Source organism: Homo sapiens, chromosome X (genome assembly GCF_000001405.40).
Source record: "Homo sapiens chromosome X, GRCh38.p14 Primary Assembly".
NCBI lineage: Eukaryota > Metazoa > Chordata > Mammalia > Primates > Hominidae > Homo > Homo sapiens.
The window spans coordinates 97,479,199-97,503,169 of record NC_000023.11 but is presented as its reverse complement, the minus strand read 5'-3'; the positions used below and the strand labels follow the sequence as shown (position 1 = coordinate 97,503,169).

General features: G+C 37.1%; 1 protein-coding gene across 1 annotated transcript in view, besides 1 other annotated feature; it reads right to left on the bottom strand.

Annotated features, from left to right (window-relative positions):
• DIAPH2 (diaphanous related formin 2) overlaps window positions 1-23,971 on the bottom strand; it is a 920,156-nt gene that overhangs the window by 101,828 nt on the left and 794,357 nt on the right. The window lies entirely within an intron of this gene.
• Window positions 20,114-20,783: an enhancer, noted in NCBI's record as "OCT4-NANOG hESC enhancer chrX:96737386-96738055 (GRCh37/hg19 assembly coordinates)". NCBI's record gives its function as "activates a minimal SCP1, AML or CMV promoter by ChIP-STARR-seq in primed H9 embryonic stem cells {active_cell/tissue: H9 hESC(primed)}" and the evidence as "EXISTENCE:reporter gene assay evidence [ECO:0000049][PMID:30033119]".

Below are 23,971 nucleotides of genomic sequence, written 5' to 3'. Positions count from 1 at the left end.
AACTTAGTAACAGTTCATAAATGCTACTTCTACTTTGTGCTTCCATATCTCACAGCATTTTCTGTCCACAAATATTTGTATTATAGAAGTTTATCACATTTACAACTTAAACTATTCAATATCTATGGGTTCTGCCTACTTAATTACTGATAACACCCAGTTCCTTGGAATACAATATTTTCCTGCAAAATGGTACACATAATGGGAACAACACTATTTTCAGAAAGAGGCTGGACTGACTCATAAGGGAATCAACGTTCACTTCCTAAATAATTCACTAAAACTTACTGGTAAGACTCAATGTACTGTTGCACTGCTCACGTTACTAGAATTTCAGCGCCTACTTGAAATTGTGACTTGCAGAGGCAAAGGCTTAAAAAGCCATACGTTTTGGAAATATTTGAAAAGATAGCTACAGAAATAATAAAAAGTTCTAATAATATGTTTCTGTTGCTCAAATTCCAGAAGTAAGTCTAAAGTGGTATACTAAAAATTACTGTCACAACTTACATTTGCAATTAACAATAAGATTTTGCAAGAAAAATCTATTAAAAGAACTCAGATTCATACACTGATCTTGCAAAATGAGAAAATAAAATCTGTAGACCTGTTACAGACCTCAAATTAAAATACTGGTATTTGTTTGGGCCACTTTGTTAAAGAAGTATGCTTTCTTTGCCTCTTAAATTTTACATTTCTAACATTTAATGGTGATTAATTGTAAAGGACACATGTAAGACTATAATACAGCTAAATGATGCATTTGTAATTCATGTGAAACAACATAATTGGTTCTCCAAGGGTTCATCAATATATTATTCTACTAAACAGAATCCTTGAAAGTCCCGCCTGAGTTTTAAATGCAATATGAAGCCTTTATTTTAAGCATGGCTTCCTCTGTGTAATATTCTCATAATTATTTTCCAGCAACAAGAAATATTAGGTTGATTATTTTTATTCTAGCTGTTAGTCCCTCATGCTGCGAAGAAAGCAAGTTCATGAATTCATTCATTTCAATACAAAACAGACATTATTTGGAGAGCTCTATTTAAAATAAAAAAAAATAAGGCTGGACACGATGGCTCACGCTTGTAATCCCAGCACTTTGGGAGGCCAAGGTGGGTGGATCACCTGAGGTCAGGAGTTTGGGACCAGCCTGGCCAACATGGCGAAACCCTGTCTCTACTAAAGAGACAAAAATTAGTTGGGCTTGGTGGTGGATGCCAGTAATCCCAGCTACTCGGGAGGCTGAGGCAGGAGAATTGCTTGAACCCAGGAGGCGGAAGTTGCAGTGAGCCGAGATCACGATGCTGCACTCCAGCCTGGGCAACAGAGTGAGACTCTGTCTCAAAAATAAAAAATAATAAAATAAAATAAATTAGAAAATATCTTTTCAAAAATTTCATAAGAGGTGAAAAGTTGAATTAAATTATTTTAAAAGCCCGCTTTATTAAAAGGCATGTAATATTTCTATTGCCTCCCCCAAGAGAATTTCTATCACACAACAGTATATAAATAAACAGAAGTCAGTTTTAAGTACAGAATTTGATTCATGGAAATAAATTACGATCTTTTAATATAAAGCAACATTTTAGTATATAGTAAGAAAAAAACAAAAGGCCATATTCTTCACTTTGATACCTGTCACTATGTAGAAGACAAATTCCTTAACATACTTGTCTTTTAAAAATAATGTCAGTATATGTTTGTTAAACTTTTAGATATAAGTTAATGAAGATCATACAGCTTATACATCTCACAGGGGTTCTGCCTATTCTTGCAACTACTGCCTGCTAATTGTCTCTAGAAACTCTAAAATTTGAAATATATATAGTGCTTTTGAAAAGAGACTAGATGAGGTCATTCTATGCCTTTTTCCTTCCAGACTTTCAGGTAATCTGATTTTCAGCCACTGTTCTCAGTTTATTTACAAAATCTATGACTCAAAGACTAGTATATATCTTCGTACAGTGTGGTCTGTCAATCTGACTAGCTCTGTACGTAAAAAGAGTACTCAAATTAGCAAGCATAAAGCCACTGGGGGCCATTCACTTAAATGCTGCCAAAAGGACTGATGAGACTTTTATTCCTGATGCTGAACTTGGGGAGGGGGAATGGTGGGGGAGTGTCTGCTAAATTCATTTTAGACAACAACGGACTACAACATCTCCCATATATTAGCCATCTTTTTAATTAAAGGATAGAAAATGGAAGGTTGGAATAAAAAGCAAAAGGAAGGAATAGAAGTGTAGATTCAACAAGACAAGACAAGAATGCCATTTCAAAACAATTTGGCATATTTGGAGAACTGGCAAAGGAGGATTTAAGAACACATGTCCCAGCAGCCCTAGAATGCACTTGCAAGGATATATATATATATATATATATATATATATATATATATATCTCCTTGAATGGCTGTTGTGAAATCAGAGTGTACTTCTAGACATTGTTACCCATGTCTAGAATATGTATAGCAAGCGGTACTTCAATATTGATAACAAGGATAAATTAACTGAAATAATAGATAGAAATGTTCTACGCAAAAGCAGAGAAAGCTTTTTATTTTGAAATCTAAGCTCATTCTTAGGCTATGTAAAATTTAGGATAATCAGTCTGGCCCTACAGGTGTACAATAAGGACAATGTTGGAGACTTGAATTCCTTCCCCCAGAGCATGAGTGAAAGTCTAGTTGAGTCTCAGAAACAAAACTGGCCCCCTTTTAAAAATTATTCCTTAGGAAGTTTCTAGTGCAGTGACAAATAAAACTAGGCACTTTGCTATCCTCTTGAGCTAGGCTTGCTCTTGTTCAATTTCAAACGAGTTCTCTTGAGTCTAAGCTGAGACCACAGTCATCTTGAAGGACAAAGGAAAAATTGCTTATCTTAGGCTTTCAGAGCTCAGAAGGTGAAAGGGCCCCAAGAGACCAACCTGCAAATCATACCAGCTGTGTTGGGCTGTAATAGCAGTGGAACCCATGAGCAGTAAACACCCAAAGATTCAGCCAGAAATCTACATACATTATATAGAGTTATCAGAGCCCTTTAACTTACCCAGCACTTTTACCCAATGCTTTTTACACAAGACATGTAGCAACATCAGAAAAAATAAGTGTTCAGTGGAAACACATTGGGAAATGTGGTTCTAACAAACAGCTAGCCCATATCGCATATCTAACAAACCCAGAGTAAACTGATCTCTGAATGCTGTGAAGATTCATGGGAGTATTCTTAGATAACCACCTATGCCATGTCCAGCCAGTTGGTAAGAGAGCAAGGGGAATTCAGTGAGGACTTTCTTCTATGCTAATCACATTAATGTGGGATTTCTGCTCTATTTACATAGTAGAAATGGAAAGAAAGACATGTTGATTCATAATTATAATTAAAGTTATCTTTTTTATGGCTGCATAGTATTCCATGGTGTACATATACCATATTTTCTTTATCCAATCAACTGTTGATGGATATTTAGGTTGATTCCATGACTTTGCTATTGTGAGTAGTACTGCAATAAACATATGAGTACAGGTGTCTTTTTCATAGAATGATTTCTTTCCCTTTGGGTAGATGCCCAATAGTGGGACTGCAGGGCTGAATGGTAGGTCTATTTTTAGTTCTCTGAGAAATCTCCAAATCTATTAAGTACAATGGTCACTATTTGAGTGACAAGTACACTAGAAGCCCAAATCTCACCATTCAATATACCTATGCAACAAACCTGCACATGTACCCGCTGAATCTAAAAATTTGAAAAAAGCTACATTAACTCTCCCAATAACAAAAAGGGAGTCAACAACCAGAGGTTATTCATTAATGTATCACAACTGTAAGCTTAGCTATCCCTGGCTGTGCTATTTTAGGTGCCTCATGGACAAAATACAGCATTTGGTTTATAAAATGACCCTACATCCAGAGATATAGTTAATGTACAAGTAATAAACAAGGAGATATTCTAGAAGATAAGAGACACAACTGAATTGATCCCAGAACACAAATGAGGAATTAAGAGAAACAGAAATTCCCAATATATTCATGTCATTTAAATCAATACAGGAATAATTCACCTTCTCCTTGGATCTACCTTCTGATATCTGCCAAGTCCCTGAGGCAAACCACACTCTGGACCAGTGACTGGCCTCCTCTCCACTTGCAGACAGATAGCTGGCTATCTAGTCTCTAGACACTACCCTCTGGTCTGTCAGATTAGTAATCCAACCTGTAACCTTTAGCATTTACCCCACTCTAGGAGTCAGTCCTCAGGGAACTTCTCTGGGGGTTCACTATACCTGCTTTGATCCTCAGACAATCTCAGATATGCTACTGACACCACATTACATCTTTTAAAAATGTACTTTTTTCACATTTTAACATCTCTGAGACTGAGATGCATCTAACAATCATTGGTGTGCTGTGATTTCATTGGCAGCATCTTTTCCTTTCTCAATGGTAAATAAATTAATGTAATATCTTATGATTGATACTATCTTTGATTCAATGATATATAGTAAAAGTAAACATCTAGTACCTCAAGTCTCCTGATGTAAGGGCTCAATATACAGAATATTCTGTAAATAATATCTCTGTTGTACTACTCTCTTCTGAGATACCTTAGAGTCTCCTGCTAAAGAGGTACTTTACATATAGGTCACAATGTTTGGTTTCGTATGACCCCAATCATAAGAGATTAGATAATGAGTACGTACCAAAGAAAACTATCTATAGATTGCCATGAGAGATTTTTCCAGCAGAAAATCTCTGCTCTGAACCAAACAAACCAAATTTTTCTTGGGGTAACTTAATGAGACACATGCAGAAACGGATATGTATGTTAGGCAGAAGCAGAAGCTAAGAGAGAGAGGATGTTAAAAGCCACATGGCAGTAGAAACCATAAATAAGCAGATACCCTGATATAGAAAGGAGAACAGAGAGTTCATTCATTGTTAAGGAAATAAAAGAAGAATTAGATAGACAGAAAAATAAAAATGCAGTAGCTGAGACACCATAATGGCAAATCATAAGAATAGAAGGATTAGTAAGTTACAACTGGAATCAAGCACAAACCTGCTCCTAAAGGAAGACTACCAGCAGGGTGGTCAATATGTCAGAGGTGCTGTCAGACTTCCAGAGCCACTGTTGTAGTCAGAACATTCTAGTTTTGATGAGCCATGGCTGGGAGACCACTGTGATATTTCTTCCTCATATTTTCTTAACCCTATATTACCTTTAAAAACTTTAGCATGCCTCTATTCCTTGGAATTAGAAAAAGACTGTTATATGATATATATATACATATAGAGAGAGAGACTCACTCACTCATTTTAACCCTTCCCTTACACACTTTGGCCCGCAATTTCTTTCTTAGGGGAAAAGACAGAGTAGAGAATGCTTCCAATATACCAGTGGCATGATATTGGCTCACTGCAACCTCCAACTCCCGGGTTCAAGCAATTCTCCTGCTGCAGCCTCCCAAGTAGCTGGGATTAAAGCCATGTGCCAATATACCTCGCTAATTTTTGTATTCTTAGTAGAGATGGGGTTTCATCATGTTGGCCAGGCTGGTCTGTAACTCCTAACCTCAAGTAATCCGCCAAACTCGGCCTCCTAAAGTGCTGGGATTACAGACATGAGCCACTGTGCCTGGCCTCCGTTACACAATATTAAGCAACTATAAGAAAGCAAAAGATAGGGTACAAAGAGAATGTGGTAAAAAAAAAAAAAAATGTGATCAGAGCTTACAAATTGGCTGAGCCAGGGAAGAGAAGAGGAGGTTAACAGGGGTGATCTCAAAACTTGAGAGACAGAAGGGAGGCGTGGGGGTGGGGGCAGCACACACAGGCCAGAGATGGAGTGCCAACTCCATTTTATCTTTACTTTTTATTTTCTGAAGGGTCATTGACATATAGCACAGATTTTCTGCAATGATATCTTATTTGGTCCTGGCCAAATCTTAAAATTTGGTTCAAATTCTCCTTCCTTTCAGTAATACTCAGGGGAGGTCATGTTCAGCTTACCACCTTTCCTCAAATCACCTTTGGACTAATCAAACTCAGACTTCCTTCCAGTCAACAAATCTAACAATATTTCCACTTATCTGAATGAATTCAGTTAAGTCAACATTGATTAGGATAGTGTTTTCTTGTCCAACATACCTTATACGGGCCCAAGCTCATCAGATTGACCACTAAAAAAAACTACAACTCAAAGTTGTATTTTTCTATTTATTTTGAAGTTTTTAAATATAAAAATGTATCAGTTTTAAAATTTCATTTATGGAACATAAGATTATTGGAATTATTATCTCCCTTTTCATCAATCAAAATCTAATTCATGGCTGGGTGCAGTGGCTCATGCCTATAATCCCAGCACTTTGGGAGGCCGATGTGGGCGGATCACCTGAGGTCAGGAGTTCGAGACTAGCCTGGCCAACATGGTGAGACATGGTGAGTGCTATGGCACTCCCCCCTTGGTGACAAGAGCAAAACTCCGTCTCGGAAAAAAAAAAAAAAAAAAAATCTAATTCAGGGCTACAGAGAACTATTTACCCATGGAAGAACCAATCTGTGTGAGAGTATTAGAAAATAACTATATTCATTCATTCATTGTGTTACCTAATGTGAAGATGGAAAACTAAAGCATGCTTATGTTTTCTTTTTTTTTAACATATGAACAAATTTAAGAATGAAAATGGTACTTGCTGGGCGTGGTGGCTCACGCCTGTAATCCCAGCACTTTGGGAGGCCGAGGTGGGTGGATCACCTGAGGTCAGGAGTTTGAGACCAGCCTGACTAACATGGAGAAACCCTGTCTCTACTAAAAATACAAAATTAGCTGGGCGTGGTGGCACATGCCTGTAATCCCAGCTACTCAGAAGGCTGAGGGAGGAGAATCTCTTGAGCCCGGGAGATGGAGGTTGTGGTGAGCCAAGATCGCGCCATTGCACTCCAGCCTGGGCAACGAGAGCGAAACTCCTTCTCAAAAAAAAAAAAAAAAAAAAAAAAGGTACCAATTCAAATTTGTTACCCTTGATCTTTATAAAGGTATAATTCTATTACTTTCTTTAGTATTTGAATTCTAGCAGTAACTTTCTGGGATAGTTTCTGCCCCTTAAATTCAATGCTTTTCTTACACTTCTCTTCTTTGGTTTTGAAAAACAATCACAGCTTCTTTCATTTAGGTATCTTTGTTGCTGTTTCTATGTTTTGACAATATGGAATGAGGTATAATTTATTTACATTTTGGGGCTACCTAACAGGTAATGATGTGCTAACATATCAAAGTAAAACTCTCCAGAAATGGTCATTCACTATAGATATTACCATGTAGGGGAATGGTTAAAATGAAACAAAACAGTAATCTTGGCTCAGGTATGTATTTGTCAGCAGGATGAGAAAAGTTTAAACTGTATATTTAATATGTAATAGTATTGCTTTGAAAACAAGTTTTCAAAAACTTTTATCACCTCTCTTTCTTACCCACTCATCACCTTAAAAACATTTAATTCACATTCCAAGATCTTATTTTCCATCATATTCATTAATAAAACTTAATAGTCTTGGGAATTTTTTACTGTCATCATTTAGACCAGTGGCCTATAAGGGGTTTTTGATTTTATATTAGATCTCAAACTGTCTGCAGGGAATCCTGATACCTTGGTACCACTTAAATATAGTTTTTTGCTTTAACAGTGATGTGTAGAAAGGGAATTCCAGATGGCCTTTTGTAATGTAGTCACTCAAGGAGAAATCCATAGACAAACTTGCATTAAATTATATTGCTCATCTAAGTAAAGGAAACTTCTCATTTAAATAATAGCTTGCTGATATCATCAAAATGGTGAAATAGAAAGTTCCATCTCTTGTTCTCCCATAGAAACACCAACTTAACAATGTAGACCACAATACCTTTATGAGAAGACCAGAATCCTTTTAAGAGGTTGCAGTACACCAGAGAAACACAAAACTGAAAAAACTCTACTGAAATGAGTAAGGAGCAATTTCACTTTACTAGTATTAGCCCCTTCCCCCAAGCCATCACAGCTCAGCACTGAAAAATATCACTTTGGCCCACAGTTTCTTTCTCAGGGGAAAATACAGAGTAGAGAATGCTTCCAATGTACCAGCCTTTTGGTGCACTGCCTGAAGGGCTAGTTTCTATCTCACCTCACATGGGACACTGATAGAAAAGAAATAGCTTGGATGTTTCAGGGCAATTAAGAACAAAGGAAAAAGGGCAGGCAGCTTACTGTGGTGAGCATAGCTCTACAAGATTGAGAGAAGGCACAGAGCCTGATGCTTCTTCCACTGTGATAGGAGAGAAATGGAACATGTTCCCAACAATCTGGCCTCAGTGAACCACCAGGGTCGGGCTGGATTCTGTCCTGCCTCAGAAGACATTAGCATGGCTCTATGAATTGTGCTAGGGGTAAATCCATCTAATTAGGAATCCTCCCACACAAATCCAGAGAAGACACATTCATAGAAAAGGTTTGAGAGGCTCCTAGAATCTCTAGCCTAGTGAATTGGTTAAGCTCTTTCCATGTCTAAACAAGTCCAGAAAGAATGGGAAGGGTGGCTGCTTCCTCAAATGTGCAGACACCAGTGCAAAAGTATAAGAAACAAGAAAAATCAGTGAAACATTACACTAAAGGAACAAATTAAATCGTAATACACAACTCTAAAGAAATGGAGATCTATGAATAGGCTAACAAAGATTTCAAAATAATCATCTTAAGGAAGCTCAGTGAGTTACAAGAGAATATAGACAACTGAACAACATTAAGAAAATAATTCAGCAACAAAATGAGAATGTCAACAGAGGTAGAAATTATGTATGTATTTATTTATTTATTGAGACAGAGTCTCGCTCTGTTGCCCAGGCTGAAGTGCAGCAGCACAATCTCAGCTCACTGCAACCTCCGCCTCCCTGGTTAAAGAGATTCTCCTGCCTCAGCATCCCGAGTAGCTGGGACTACAGACATGGGACACCATGCCCGGCTAATTTTTCTGTGTGTGTGTGTGTATACATATATACACACACACAAATATATACATATATATAAATATATATATATACACACAAATATATACATACATATATATAAATATGTTTTTCAAGTAGAGATGGGGTTTCCCTATGTTGGCCAGGCTGGTCTCAAACTCCTGACCTCAAGTGATTCACGCATCTCAGACTCCCAAAGTGCTGGGATTACAGGTGTGAGCCACCATGCCCAGCTCAGGCTGGTTTTTTTGTTGTTGTTTGAGTTGCCTTTTTCTTTTTTTTTGAGATGGAGTCCCACTCTGTCACCCAGACTAGAGTGCAGTGGCACAATCTCGGGCTCATTGCAACCTTTGCCTCCCAGGCTCAAGAGATTCTCCTGCCTCAGCCTCCCCAGTAGCTGGGATTACAGGTATGTGCAACCACAACTGGCTAATTTTTGTAATTTTTTTTTTTAGTAGAGATGGTGTCTCATCACGTTGGCCAGGCTGGTCTCGATCTCCTGACCTCAAGTGATCCACCTGCCTTGGCCTCCCAAAGTGCTGGATTACAGACATGAGCCACCACATCTGGCCCTAACAGAGGTAGAAATTATTTAAAAAAAAATAACCAGGCCGGGTGCGGTGGCTCACGCCTGTAATCCCAGCAGTTTGGGAGGCTGAGGCAGGCAGATCACCTGAGGTTGGGAGTTTGAGACCAGCCTGACTAACATGGAGAAACCCCGTCTCTACTAAAAATAAAAAATTAGCCAGGCATGGTGGCGCATGCCTGTAATCCCAGCTACTCAGGAGGCTGAGGCAGGAGAATAGCTTGAACCCGGGAGGCAGAGGTTGCAGTGAGCCGAGATTGTGCCATTGCACTCCAGCCTGGGCAACAAGAGTGAAACTCCGTCTCAATAAATAAATGAATAAATAAATGAATAAATAAATAAATAAATAAATAAAAATAACCAAACAGAAATTCTGGTTCAGTGACTGAACTGAAAAATCACTACAGTGATTAAACAGCAGACTTGATTAAGCAGAAGGAATCAGTGAAACTGAAGACAAGTCATCCAAATTATGTAGCCAGAGGAGCAAAAAGCAAAGAATGATAAAGAATGAAGAAAGCCTAAGCTACTTACTGAACATCATCAAGCAGACCAATACATTCATTATGGGAATCTCAAAGGAGAAGAGAGATAGTCAGGGGAAAAAGCTTATATAAAGAACTCATGGAGGAAAACATTTCAAATCTGGGCAAGGAAATGGATATCCAGATTCATGAAGCCCAAAGAATGCCAAATTAGACAAACCCAAAGAAGTCTACACTGAGATACAATATAATCAAATTGCACAAAGTCAAAGAAAAATTTTAAAGGAGCAAGAGAAAAGTGACTCGTGATGTAAAGTGAGTCCTCAATAAGACTATCAGTGGATTTCTTAGCAGAAACCTTGCAGACCAGAAGGCAGTGAGCTTATAATATTCAAAGTGTTGAAAGAAAAAAAAATGCCAATCAAGAATACTATATCTGGCAAAATTGTCCTTCAAAAGTGAAGGTGAGATAAAGACTTTTCCAAACAAAAGGCACGGGAGTTCATCACCACTAGACATGATGCTAACGGGAGTTCTTCCAGTAGAAATGAACAGATGCTAAAACAGTAACACAAAAGCATATGAAAGAATACAACACACTGGTATGGGCAAGCATACAGACAAACACAGAATACTATATATATATAATATAGATATAGACATAGATAATTTTTTTTGAGACAGGGTCTCATTCCTATTGCCTAGGCTAGACTGCAGTGGCATGATCACAGCTCACTGCAGCCTCGGCTGATTCTCCCACCTCAGCTTCCTGAGAAGCTGGGAATATAATTGTGCACCACCATGCCTGGCTAATTTTTTGCATTTTTAATAGAGACAGGGTTTTGCCATGTTGCCCAGGCTGGTCTTGAATTCCTAGACTCAATGAATTTGCCCACTTTGGCCTCCTGAAGTGCTGGGATTAGAAGCCACTGTGCCCAGCCCGGATACTACAATAATGGTGGACTGTAAATAACTTTAAACTCTACTATTAAAGTTAAAAGACAAAAATATTAAGATTATAACTACACAAATTTGTTAATGGATACACAATATAAAAAGATTTAAACTATGACATCAATAACAGAGTATGGTGAGGGAGAAGTAAAAGTGGAAGGTTTTTGTATGTGAGTGCAGTTAAGTTGTCAGCAGCTTAATATAGAACTGCTGTAACTGTAAGACAATCTATGCAAGCTTCATGGTAATCATAAAGAAATTAACTATAGAAGATACACAAAAGAAATAGAAGAAGGAACCAAAGCATATCACTACAAAAAATCAACAAATCACAAAAGAAGATAGCAAGAGAGGAAAACAGGGACAAAAAGACTATGAAACAGAAAACAATCAACAAAAGGGCAATAGTAAGTCCTTCCCTATCAATAATTACTTGAAATGTAAATGGAGGCCTGGTGCGGTGGCTCACGCCTGTAATCCCAGCACTTTGGGTGGATCATGAGGTCAGGAGATCGAGACCATCCTGGGCAACATGGTGAAACCCTGTCTGTACTAAAAATACAAAAATTAGCCGGGTGTGGTGGTGCACGCCTGTAGTCCCAGCTACTTGGGAGGCTGAGACAGGAGAATCACTTGAACCCAGGAGGCGGAGGCTGCCATGAGCCGAGATCGCACCACTGCACTCCAGCCTGGGCAACAGAACAAGACTCTGTCTCAAAAAAAATAAAATAAATAAATAAATGCAAATGGATTAAACTCCCCAAACAAAAGACACAGAGTGGCAGAATAGATAAATAAACAATATCTAATTATATGCTACCTATAAGAGACAACACTTAGCTTTGAGGACACACATAGCCTGAAAGTAAAGAGACAGAAAAAGATATTCCACACAAATGGTAACCAAAAGAGAGCAGGAGTGGCTATACTTTATGTGACACAAAATAGACTATAAGTCAAAAACCGACATAGAGGCGAAAAAGGTCATTACATAATAATGAAAGCAATTCATCAGGAAGATATAACAATTATAAATCCATATATACACCAAATATTAGAGCATCTAAATATACAAAGTAAACACTGACAGATCTGAAGTAGGAAACAGACAGCACTATGGTATTGGTAAGATAATTCATATCCCACTTTTGATAATGAATAGAACATCCAGGCAAAAAAAAAAATCAATAAGGAAACAATAGACTTGAACAACACTAAGAGCAAGAGGAACTAAAAGACATACAGAAGACATTTCAACCAACAGTTGTGAAATACACATTCTTCTCATGCACACATGGAACATTCTCCAGAATATATCACGTGTTAAGTCACAAAAAAAGTCTCAACGAATTTAAGACTGAAATCCTACACAGTATCTTTTCTGACTATAGTGGAATGAAACTAGAAATTAATAGCAGAAGGAAAATTGGATAATTTACAAATATGTGGAAATGAAACAACACACTCTTTAAAAACCAATGGGCCAATGAAGAAATTAAAAAAAAAATTAGAAAATATCTTAAGACATGCAAAAATGAAAATACAACATAACAAAACTTACGAGATAGAGCAAAAGCAATTCTAAGAGGGATATTTATGGTGATAAAATGCCTACATTAAAAAAGTAGAAAGATCTCAAATAAACAATCTAATGTTATACCTCAAGGAGCCAGAAAAAGAACAAATTTAGGAGAAGCCCAACATTAGCAGAAGCAAGGAAATAACAAAGACTAGAGTCAAAATAAATGAAATAGAGAACAGAAAAGCAGTAGAAAAAAAATCAGTGAAACAGAAAATTGTTTTTTTCTGAAAATATAAACAAAATGGAAAAATCCTTATACTAAAAAAAAAAAAAAGATTCAAAATCAGAAATGAAAGATGAGACATTAGAACTGATGCCACAGAAATAAACAGGATCAGAAGAGACTACTATGAAGAATTATACACCAACAAATTGGATAATCTCGAAGCAATGGTTATATTCACAGAAATATACAACCTACCAAGGGTAAATCATGATGAAATGGAAAATCTAAACAGACCAATAACAAACAAGGAGACTGAATCAGTAATCAAAACCCTCTGCAAAAAGAAAAATCCAGCATTAGATGGTGTCAGTGGTGAATTTTATCAAATATTTAATGAAGAATTAACCCCAACACTTTTTAAAGACTTTAAGAGAGTAGACTTCGAAACTCATTCAATCAAGCCAGTATTACCCTAATACAAAGTCACAGACACTACAAGAAAACTACAGACCAGTATCTTCGATGAAAACAGATGTGAAAATTCCCAAGAAAATATTAGCAAACCGAATTCAACACTAAGTTCTAAAAAATCATACATCATGATCAAATGGGACTTATCCCTAATATGTGAGGATGGCTTGAACATATGCAAATCAATTAATGTGCTACACCACATTAATAGAATGAAGGATAAAAATCACACAATCATCCCAATAGATGCAGAAAAAGCATTTGAAAAAATTCAACACCTTTCCATGATAAACACTATCAATAAATTAGACATACAAGGAATTTACCTCAACACAATTAAGGCCATATATGAAAAGCCCACTGCTAATATCAAACTAATGATAAAACACAAAGTTTTTCTTCTCATATCAGGAAATGGAAAGAATGCCCACCCTCACCATTTATATTCAAGATAGTACTGGAAGCTCTAGCTGGAGCAACTAGACAAGAAAAAGAAAAATAAAAGACATTAAAATTGGGAGGAAAAAAAAAAGAAGTAAAACTATCTCTGTTTGCCGACACGTGATCTTACATAGAGAAAACCCTAAATATTCCACAAAAAACTGTTAAAACTAATTAAAAAATTCAGCAAAGTTGCACGATACAAAATCAACATACAAAAATCAATTGCATTTCTGTACATTAACAATAAAGTACTGAAAACAAAACTGAGAAAGCAATCCCATTTGCATAGTATCACAAAGAATGAAATACTTAGGAATACATTTAACCAAGGAGGTGAAAGACTTGTACGGCGAAAACTACATAACGTTGATGAAACAAATTAAAGACAACATATATAAATGAAAAGATATTCAGTGAAAGACTTAATATTGTTAAAATGTCCATACTACTTAAGATAATCTATAGATTCAATGCAATCCCTTTAAATGTCCCAATGGCATTTTTCAGAGAAATAGAAAAACCCATCGTAAAATTCATAACTACAAAAGAGCATGAATAGCCAAAGAAATCTTGAGAAAGAAGAACATAGCTGGATTCGCCACACTTCCTTATTTTAAAATATATTACAAACCTTCAGCAATTTAAAAAATATGGGACTGACATAAAAACAGACATGTAGACCAAGGAAACAGAATAGAGAGCCTAGAAATATATCCATGCATATATGGTCAACTGATCTTTGTATGGGGTGCCAAGAACACAGAATGAGAAAAGGAAAGTCTCTTCAACAAATGGTAGTGGGAAAATTGGATATGGACATGCAAAAGAATGAAATTGGACCTTCATCCCACATTATATATAAAAATCAACTAAAAATGGGTTAAAGATTTAAACGTAAGACCTAAACCTACAAAACTCCTTGAAGAAAACAAAGGGGAAAAGCATCATGGTATTGGTCTGGGCAATGATTTCTTGGATATGACACCAAAAGCATAAGCAGCAAAAGCAAAAACACAGTGAGATTACATAAAACTAAAAAGCTTCTGTACAGCAAGCAATCAAAATGAAAAGGCAATTTACAAAAATGAGAGAAAATATTTGCTAGCTGCATATCTGATAAAGGGCTAACTATGCAAAATGTGTCAAATACGTAAGGAACTCAAATAACTCAAGATCAAAAAAACAAAACAGCTGGGTATGGTGGCTCATGCCTGTAATTTCAGCACTTTGGGAGGCCGAGGCAGGCAGATCACCTGAGGTTGGGAGTTCAAGACCAGCCTGACCAACATGGAGAAACCCCATCTCTAATAAAAATACAAAATTAACTAGGCATGGTGGTGCAGGCCTGTAATCCCAGCTACTCGGGAGGCTGAGGCAGAAGAATCGCTTGAACCCGGGAGGTGGAGGTTGTGGTGAGCCAAGATTGTGCCATTGCACTCCAGCTTGGGTAACAAGGGCGAAACGCCATCTCAAAAACAAAATGAAACAAAACAAAATAAAAAACAAAAAAGCTCCCAAATAGCCAGTTTAAAAAATAAGGAAAGGTTTTGAATAGACATTTCTCCAAAGTAGACATACAAATGGCCAACAGGTATGTGAAAAGATGCTCAACATCACTAATCAAGGAAATGCAAATCAAAAACTACAATGAGATGTCACCTCACCCCAGTTAGGATGTCTACTATTTAACAACAAAAAAAAAATGTAAAAGGCATTGTTAAGGATGTGAAAAGGTAACAAGCACTGTTAAGGATGTGAAGAAATTGGAACCCTTATACAACTGTTAGTGGGAATGTAAAATGATGCAGCCATTATGGAAAAGAGTATGAAGCTTCCTCAAAAAATTAAAAACAGACTTACCAGAAGATCCAGTAATCCCTCTTCTGGGGATATGTCCGAAAGAATTGAGGCCGGGCGCGGTGGCTCATGCCTGTAATCCCAAAACTTTGGGAGGTCAAGGCAGGCGGATCACGAGGTCAGGAGATCAAGACCATCCTGGCTAACATGGTGAAACCCCGTCTCTACTAAAGATACAAAAAATGAGCCGGGCGTGGTGGCACGTGCCTGTAATCCCAGCTACTCAGGAGGCTGAGGCAGGAGAATTGCTTGAACTCAGGAGGTGGAGGTTACAGTGAACCGAGATCACGCCACTGCACTCCAGCATGGGTGACAGAGCGAGACTCTGTCTCAAAACAAAAAAAACAAAAAAAAGAATTGACAGCAGGATCTCAAATTGATATCTGCACTCCCATGTTCACTGCAGCATTATTCACAACAGCCAAGATAGGGAAATAATCCAAATGTCCATCAGTGAATGAATAGAGTAAATGGAGAAAATGTGGTATGTACGTACAATGGAATATGATTCAGCCTTAAACACAGAAAGAAATCCTGCCATATGTGACAACATGGTTGAACCTGGAGACATATGCTAAGTGAAGTAAGACAGGCACACAAAGACTCATACTGCGGGATTCCACGTTTATGAGCTATTTAAAATAGTTAAACTCACAGAAACAGAGTAGAATGGTGGTTGCCAGGGTCTGGGGAGAAGGAGGAGTGGGGAGTTGCTGTTCAACAGGTATAAAGTTTCATTTGTGCAAGATGAATAAATTCTAGAGATCTATTGTATGGCATAGTGCCTATAGTTAACAATATTGTATTGTGCACTTAAAGATTTGATAAGAGGGTAGATCTCTTGTTAAGTTTTCTTCCTACAACCAAAAAACAAATATAGCCAAATTTTTAAAAAGGAAAAATAACAGCTTGCTGTTTCTGAGAGGTAAACAAGTGACTACCTACTTGCACTGGGCTAGTAGGCATATATGTAGTATATGAATAATCTGGGCTAAATAGTATGTGTAAATATATCACTAGCAATAAAATCAAGGTCTGTGAATAATTTTTAGTCAATGCTTAGAATGGCCACAGGTAGCACACCAGGAAATGGCTAGGAAGTGCTCCCACTGCCTGGGTAATTTTATAAGTCATTTGTAACATATATACTGTTCTGGTAACAGATAAAACCCTAGGTTAGGTTTATCTTTCATTTCTTATAGCTCTTTTTCTCTAGCACGAGAATCCAAAAAGTACTTAGAGAACACTGGCACAAAGAAGGGTGTATCAAAAACAAATGTTACTCTTTTGGTCTAGAGTAACTTTAGAGGATAAGTTTAGGACACTAAAACTATAGGTGTGCTGGAAGTTCCATAATTGACTTTCAAATGCTATTTTCCAGTAGTCAAAACTACTCATTTGCTTAAGTTATGGAGTATATAACATTGCAATTGAATAATAATTATGAAAGACATTGCCATTTCCATCAATATTTTTATTTTAAATTACACCGGGTATCTTATTTTTTTAAGAGAAGCCCAAATTAAATGCAGTTTATTTTTCTTGAAAAGAAATGCTGATCTCTATTCATAGCCTGCTAATAGCATTATTTCTTTTTTTTTTTTTATTTTCGGTACACACAGAGGAACAGAAGGGAGGGGTGTAAAGGAAGGGAGTGTTATAAAGACTTTTTTGTAGAAGTGGGATTTTTTGCACCTTCAATTACCTCATGGCAGGTGCAATGACCACTTTGTGCTCTCTTGAGGACAAAAGTGGCAATCTGTACTTACAAATACATGATCATATCAGTAAAAATGAGGCCATGCTGAAAATTTGCCCCGAGATGTTTAAAGGACACTGAATTTTGACTCAGATTTACACATAAGTCAATGCCAAATGACAAATTTCAAGCTTCACAAGTTCAGACATTGATCAGGGAATTGGAGCTTCAAAGCCATAAAGCTGAAAGCTTTTGGACCAAGGAATATTCAACAAAAGCTGTGTAAAAATGCATCAATGCAGTGTGATCACCTCAAGCAAAAATCAGCAAGGCACAACAATGAAGAATTCAAATTTAATCTATCTTTTGGACTTCCTTGGAAAATGAGAATACAATCACGGTCAAAAGTTGATAACATTTTCAAATGACTTTCAGTCCATTTGAATAGGTATGAAATAACACCATTTGTTTGTATAGCATTTAGTTTATAAATGCTTCCTGGATACATTACCACATTTCTTTTCACTTCAAGGCTGTGAGGTGGGGCAAATATAATTATCCTTATTTTATAGATGGGGGCACTGAGGGTTAAGAGGTTTGTCTGAAGTAACAGAGCTGGTAAGTTTTGGGATTAGATTTTTAAAAAAAAAATCTAGTGATCTTTTCTCTATTTTAGGCTATGAAGACAAAGAATCTGCCAGTTTAGACGTGGTATTATTTGATGAATTATCTTTGGGTGTGAGACAGGTGGTGCTACTAGTCACACTGTGAATTGCCTTCGGTATTTACAGTATCACATTGACATCCCAGACATTTTTCCCTCTCATTCATCAAGTTCAGTACCTAAATGGTCTTTAATTACACATTCAGATGTGAATAATGTATATATCTAGTTATTTACATAGAGTTGGTATTAATAAGAATGTTCTGCTCTATGCCAGTAAGCATGTGCTACTACTTTAGTTTAAAATAGTTTGTTTCCCCACTGGGTAAGATGAAGTGATGGGGATGATATTTAATCTTTTCTTTTCTTTTTTTTTTCTCGCTCTGTCACCAGGCTGGAGTGCAGTGGCGTGATATCGCTCACCGCAACCTCCGCCTCCCAGGTTCAAGTGATTCTCCTGCCTCAGCCTCCTGAGTAGCTGGGACTACAGGCACGTGCCACCACGCCTGGCTAATTTTTGTATTTTTAGTAGAGATGGGGTTTCACCGTGTTAGCCAGGATGGTCTCGATCTCCTGACATCGTGATCTGCCCGCCTCGGCCTCCCAAAGTGCTGGGATTACAGGCATGAGCCACCACACCTGGCCTGATGTTTAATCTTATACATCCTTGAGACATGGAAAAGTACCGTCTATGTTAATATAAAATGGAAATAGAAACTATTATTTACAAGGGCGCAATATGAACAACCCATAGAAAAGAACCTATTTCTAAATCATAAAAGATAAACAATATCAATAATATTGACTATGTATTGATATTAGAATCACCAGCTACTGTGCTGTGTTTTATATTCGTTATGTTATTTAATTCTCAGAATAACCCTATTAGGTAGGCATTGTTACATACATTTCATGGATGAAGAAACTAAGTTTTAGAAAGGCTAGATAATTTGCCTAAGTTTACACAACTAGTAATGGTAAAAACGGAATTAGATTCCAGTTGATGTAATTAAATATTGCTCTTTAACTATTATGTCTCTGGTATTCAAACTTCAGTAGTATGTAGAAAAATGATCTGGGCACTTGTTAAAATGTAGATTCCTGAGCACTATATACTGTGATTCAAGACCTGGGGTATGGTCTGATACTCTAAATTTTTAAACAATTTATGATTGATATATAATAACTATATATATTTATGGGGTACAACGTGATGTTTTGATATAGGTATACATTGTATAATGAATTTTAGTAAGTTTCCCAGGTAATTCTCATGATTTTTTTAAAAGATTTTCAGAAATACTGTCATACATTATACTGACAGCTAACACTGTTTCCTCCATATTAATTTTGGATGAATCTTTTAAAAATAAGTCATACATTTGAGGGTTTTGGTTGTTGCTGTTGTTGTTTTAACTCAGAAAATTTAATGTCTCACTGTAGTTGAGAACCTTACCAGGAAAACAGAAATTGTGATGGGACGGTATTGATATTTGCATAACAGCTGCATATGTATGACACATTCAATGAGGCCAAACAACAGGCTTTCTCTGTAGGTATAAGTAGAGGCAGCTAGCTAGGTACGTAAATGAAGAAAGGAGAACTGAAGATAGAAGGGAGAGGGAAGAAAAGAGAGAAAGGTAACAAAGTTAAAGGACTGATCTACTTTTGAACACAAGTATATTTCTCTCAAAAGACAAACAGGTTCTGATTAAAATTTGTGTTTTGACAGCTATGTCTTTTATCTGGTTTGTTTAGGTTCTTAAATGGAATGACAGGGCATACAATCCAATTGGCAGTTGTGATTAAGAGGTCAGGCAGTGAATTCAGTACTTTAAAAAACTCTTTCTCTCTCTCTCTCTTTTGCCCCCTTCAACTGGCACTTTAGTTTCCTAACTTATTCATATCAGCAGGAAGCAATGGCTGAACACCAACCTCTACTCACAAATCTAAGGACAAGCTTCATTATTACCTATTGCTTCAAGGAAATTCAGTGATGTTTACATAATCCGGGCACATATATAGCTTTTCAGTCTCAATTATTGTTTTCTTTTTCTCCTTCTGAACTATCAATCTAGTATGAAAAGCTTAAAAATTAAAAGGCTTTTTAGAAAAGAAATCACTTTTGTCTCTATATAAAAGAAGAGCAAAAAAGGTACTCCCAAAGGACAGAGTCTGTTAAAAATCAGATTATTTCCACCACACTCCCCTATTATTCACTTGTCAGTAAAATATGTCCTCTCATTGTCTTGGTTTGAATGCCTATTTTTATCTGACTGGAGCTATATGGTCATTTTTGTATTTATTACTAAGTTCTTTAGGTTTCTACTCCCCCCACCCCAGAGCATGTTTTTCTGCTCTTAAAAACTGGGCCACATGCCTCTGAGGAGAAAGTAGTGCATTATTTCATTCCCACCTTTTCTTCTTTTTTGGCATCTCTGAGGCTGCTATGCCCAGAAGTGCTTCCACTCAAGCTGGACCATCAAATCAATTATCACAGCAGTCTGCTTTCTAAATATGAATGGCAATGAATGACAACAGGAAAGGCAAACTTTCAACTTTGATTTGTCATTGGTAATGCAAATCTTTTTTTTTTTTTTTCTTTTTGGTCCCCTCCTCTTTTCCTTTTATATCTCTCTCAATTTCTCCCTGTCTCTCCCTCTCAATCTCTGTCCCTCACAGATGTTTGAGAGAGTCCAGCCATTTGGCCAAATTCTCCCCCCTGCTGTTGGCAGCTGCATTGTATCAAATCTTCAAATGAAAGCTTCACCTTTGTGAGTCAAAGTCACAAGAGAAAAATGGTATGGGGAGCCATTATTGCTATAAAATCTCTTTCTGCTAACCTCTGAGCCTGATTATTCCTGCATCTGAAGAAGCACAACAATGTTGCATCCTTATTCATTCGGGCTGTTTAAAATTCTTGCCTGCTCCAGTATTTGAAGCTTCAATTGTTTTGTGCTTAATGTTGCTCATTTCATATCAAGTTCTTGGTTATGTGAAATACTTTAATTTTTAAAATGTTATTATATCCTAGCTGTTTAAAAAGATTGAGAATGCCATAAAGAGAGAGACTGGTTTAAGCAAACCATAACTAGCTTTCATAATGCTGTATGTGGTCATTAATCCATCACTTTTGTGAGGATGTCTGCAATTTCTAGTATACTTAGTGCTTTACGTTTCTTTTCTCAAGCTGACAGCAATTCTTTTCATTGGCCAAAGATGCCACACTTTTACCAGTTATATTTATAAATATTACTTTAAAAAATGAGTTCAAAGCAGTAACATCACTTGAAAATGGCAGGCAAGAGAATAAATTATGCCAACCACTGTTAACCAGAAATTCTGTACCAGAGTCTTAGAATATATTGTCTTCATTTAGTCAAATAATGATGAGTTGTGCAAGGCTGTGCCTAGAGCCAATTTAACTGGTGAATTAAGGTGTCGGCTCTGTCAAAATTAGTCAACCATCAATGAAAAATACTCAATTACAAACTACTTTATGACATGCATACACTGTTTTTCATGGGGGTGGGGGCAGTAGGGAGTAGAGATACAAAAGAGTATGAATTATAATTCCTATTCTCTAGAATCTCATTGAGGAGATAATGACAGACTCTCTCCTTTGACCAAACTTGAGTCAGATTCTTCTGAGCTCCCTTTTTAACTAGACCCAAACTTAGGCTCTGTCCCTGGCTCATTTAGTCCTGTTTTAGCAAAAATACTACTGGGTTAGTTTAGTGCAGATCCCTCACCCTTGATTATCTGATCAAATTCCTTATTCCTCACTCTGGATATCTTATCATCTTGGTCTGACTTCAGCAAGAATCCTGTCAAGTCAGTTTAGCTGGAATGCCCTTAGGCCTGATGTTTCCTCTTAGTAATTTTCCATCAATCGACCCCCACCCTGGTTCATGGCTATAAATGTCCACTTGGTACTTCTTGTGTGTGGAGTTTGGCTTAATCTCACTACCGTACTACAAAATTCCACTGTAGTAGTCCCTCTGAATGAAGTCAGCCTTACCATATTTAACAAGTGTCAGAATAATTTTTTCTTTAACAATAAAACACAGAGATGTAAAAACAAAACTATAATATAGGGTACTTTTTGCTAAGTGTCAACAGAACTACATAGAGAGTATAAGTTATGTAATTACAGCAAGCAGATTACTTTCAAATGGGGAATTCAACGAAGCCTTGATGAGGTAGATGGGATCTGAGCTATGCATGGTGAAAGCCTGGGTGAAGTTTTCATAGGTAGAAAGTAAGAGAGATTATTCCCAATGGGGAAGTAAACAGCTTAAATTGATTTACACATTGTTTATTTGGAAATACTATTTCTGAGCTCAATATTCTTTAGCATCTAACTTTATAAATGGTTAACGAAAAAAGGACAAAAGAAACATGCATAAGGTAGAAGAGGGTAGTCAATAATGGACAACCATTCTAAGAAACAGTCTTTCTGCAGCTTACTCTTAGGCTTGTGGGTATGATATGCTGGGTCAAAGGTGGCTCTCAAGGGATCGGTAATAATTATAACAAATGTGATCCTAATTCAGCTGATCAGGGTTTGTATAAGATCGGTCCTGATCTCGTAAGGAATGGTGAGTTGCTCCAAAGATCTTAATGTTCTATTACTATCTAGATTTATATTTTATAAAATATGAAGACATCCTAGGCTGAAAGTAGATGTCCTACGGTAGTTGCAAGCTATGACTGTTCCAGTCCAGAGCTTTATGTATTCTTTGGGGACTTTTCCTAGGCCAGTGTCCACATCTTCTGTATTAGTTTCCTAGGTCTGCCATAATAAATTATGACAGACTGGGTGACTTACAATAACAGAAATGTATTCTCTCACAGCTCTGGACACAAGAATTCTGAAGTTAAGGTACAGGGCAGGGTTGGTTCTTTTGAAGGTTCTGATGGAGAATTTGTTGCACTTCTCTCTCCTAGCTTTTTATGGTAGCCATCAATCCTTGGGATTCCTTGGCAGTCGCATCACTCCAGTCTATGCTTCCACAGTTACGTGGCATTCTCCCTGTGTGTCTTTGTGTCCCACATGGCCTACTTATAAGGACACCAGTCATTGGATTTAGGGTGCACCCTCATCCAGTATGACCATATCTTAACTTGATTACATTTTCAAAGCCTCCAATCACAAACAAGGTCCTATTCACAGATACTGGGGATTAGGACTTAAACATACCTTTTTGGGTGACAATTCAACCCATAACTCTTTCATAGCCTATTATTAAAGTACTATTTTCCTAAATGGGATTACTTAATTCCATCCCAATGATTCATTTCCCAGAATTTTTTTTCCTTTTGAAATAAGCAAGTTCATATAACATCTACCTAATAAGCTGACTTTCAACTAAAATGGGATGTCTAATTTCTAATCGAGTTTAGTACATATTAGAGCTGTCTTCAAAATCTACTTCACATAGTGAAAGCAAGGTAGTACAGTCAAAGTTACATTAGGCCCTGTGGGGAGATAAAAAAAATGATAAAAAAAAAAATTGGCTCCTACTCTCATATAGTTTACAGCCTTGAGGTTTCACAGCATAGAATGCTTGCAATGGAAGGGATCAAAGATCATCTATTCTAAACCATTCATTTTATAGATGAGGCCTTTGAGGCCCAGTGAGGTTAACTAATTTGCCCAGGGCTCACAAAGTTAATTGGGGAAATAGAACATGCAAGGGAAACAAATGAAGGGCACAATTTTAAAGAAATCCAGCTACTCTTCTGCTTTTGTGTATGAGGTACACAGTGAATGCTGATGATGTGCCATAGAGATTAGATCGAAGTCTGGCAGTCAAAAGCAATTCTGGAGTAGATGCCAAGGCTCTTCATCTCCTTTGCTCTCATCTCTGTAGCCTTCCAGAAAGCAAAATAACTTCCTGACCTTTCTTTTCCTGGGGCATGGGCTTAACTCAAGTTTCAGTTGTCTGGGGAAGCAATACCTTTAGAGTAGAAAGCACAAGGCTGTGCTGCTCTACTTGTTGTAATTCTCTGATGACCATAAACTAATGGTAGAGAAGTAGCCCCCAGGGTGGGTGGGGT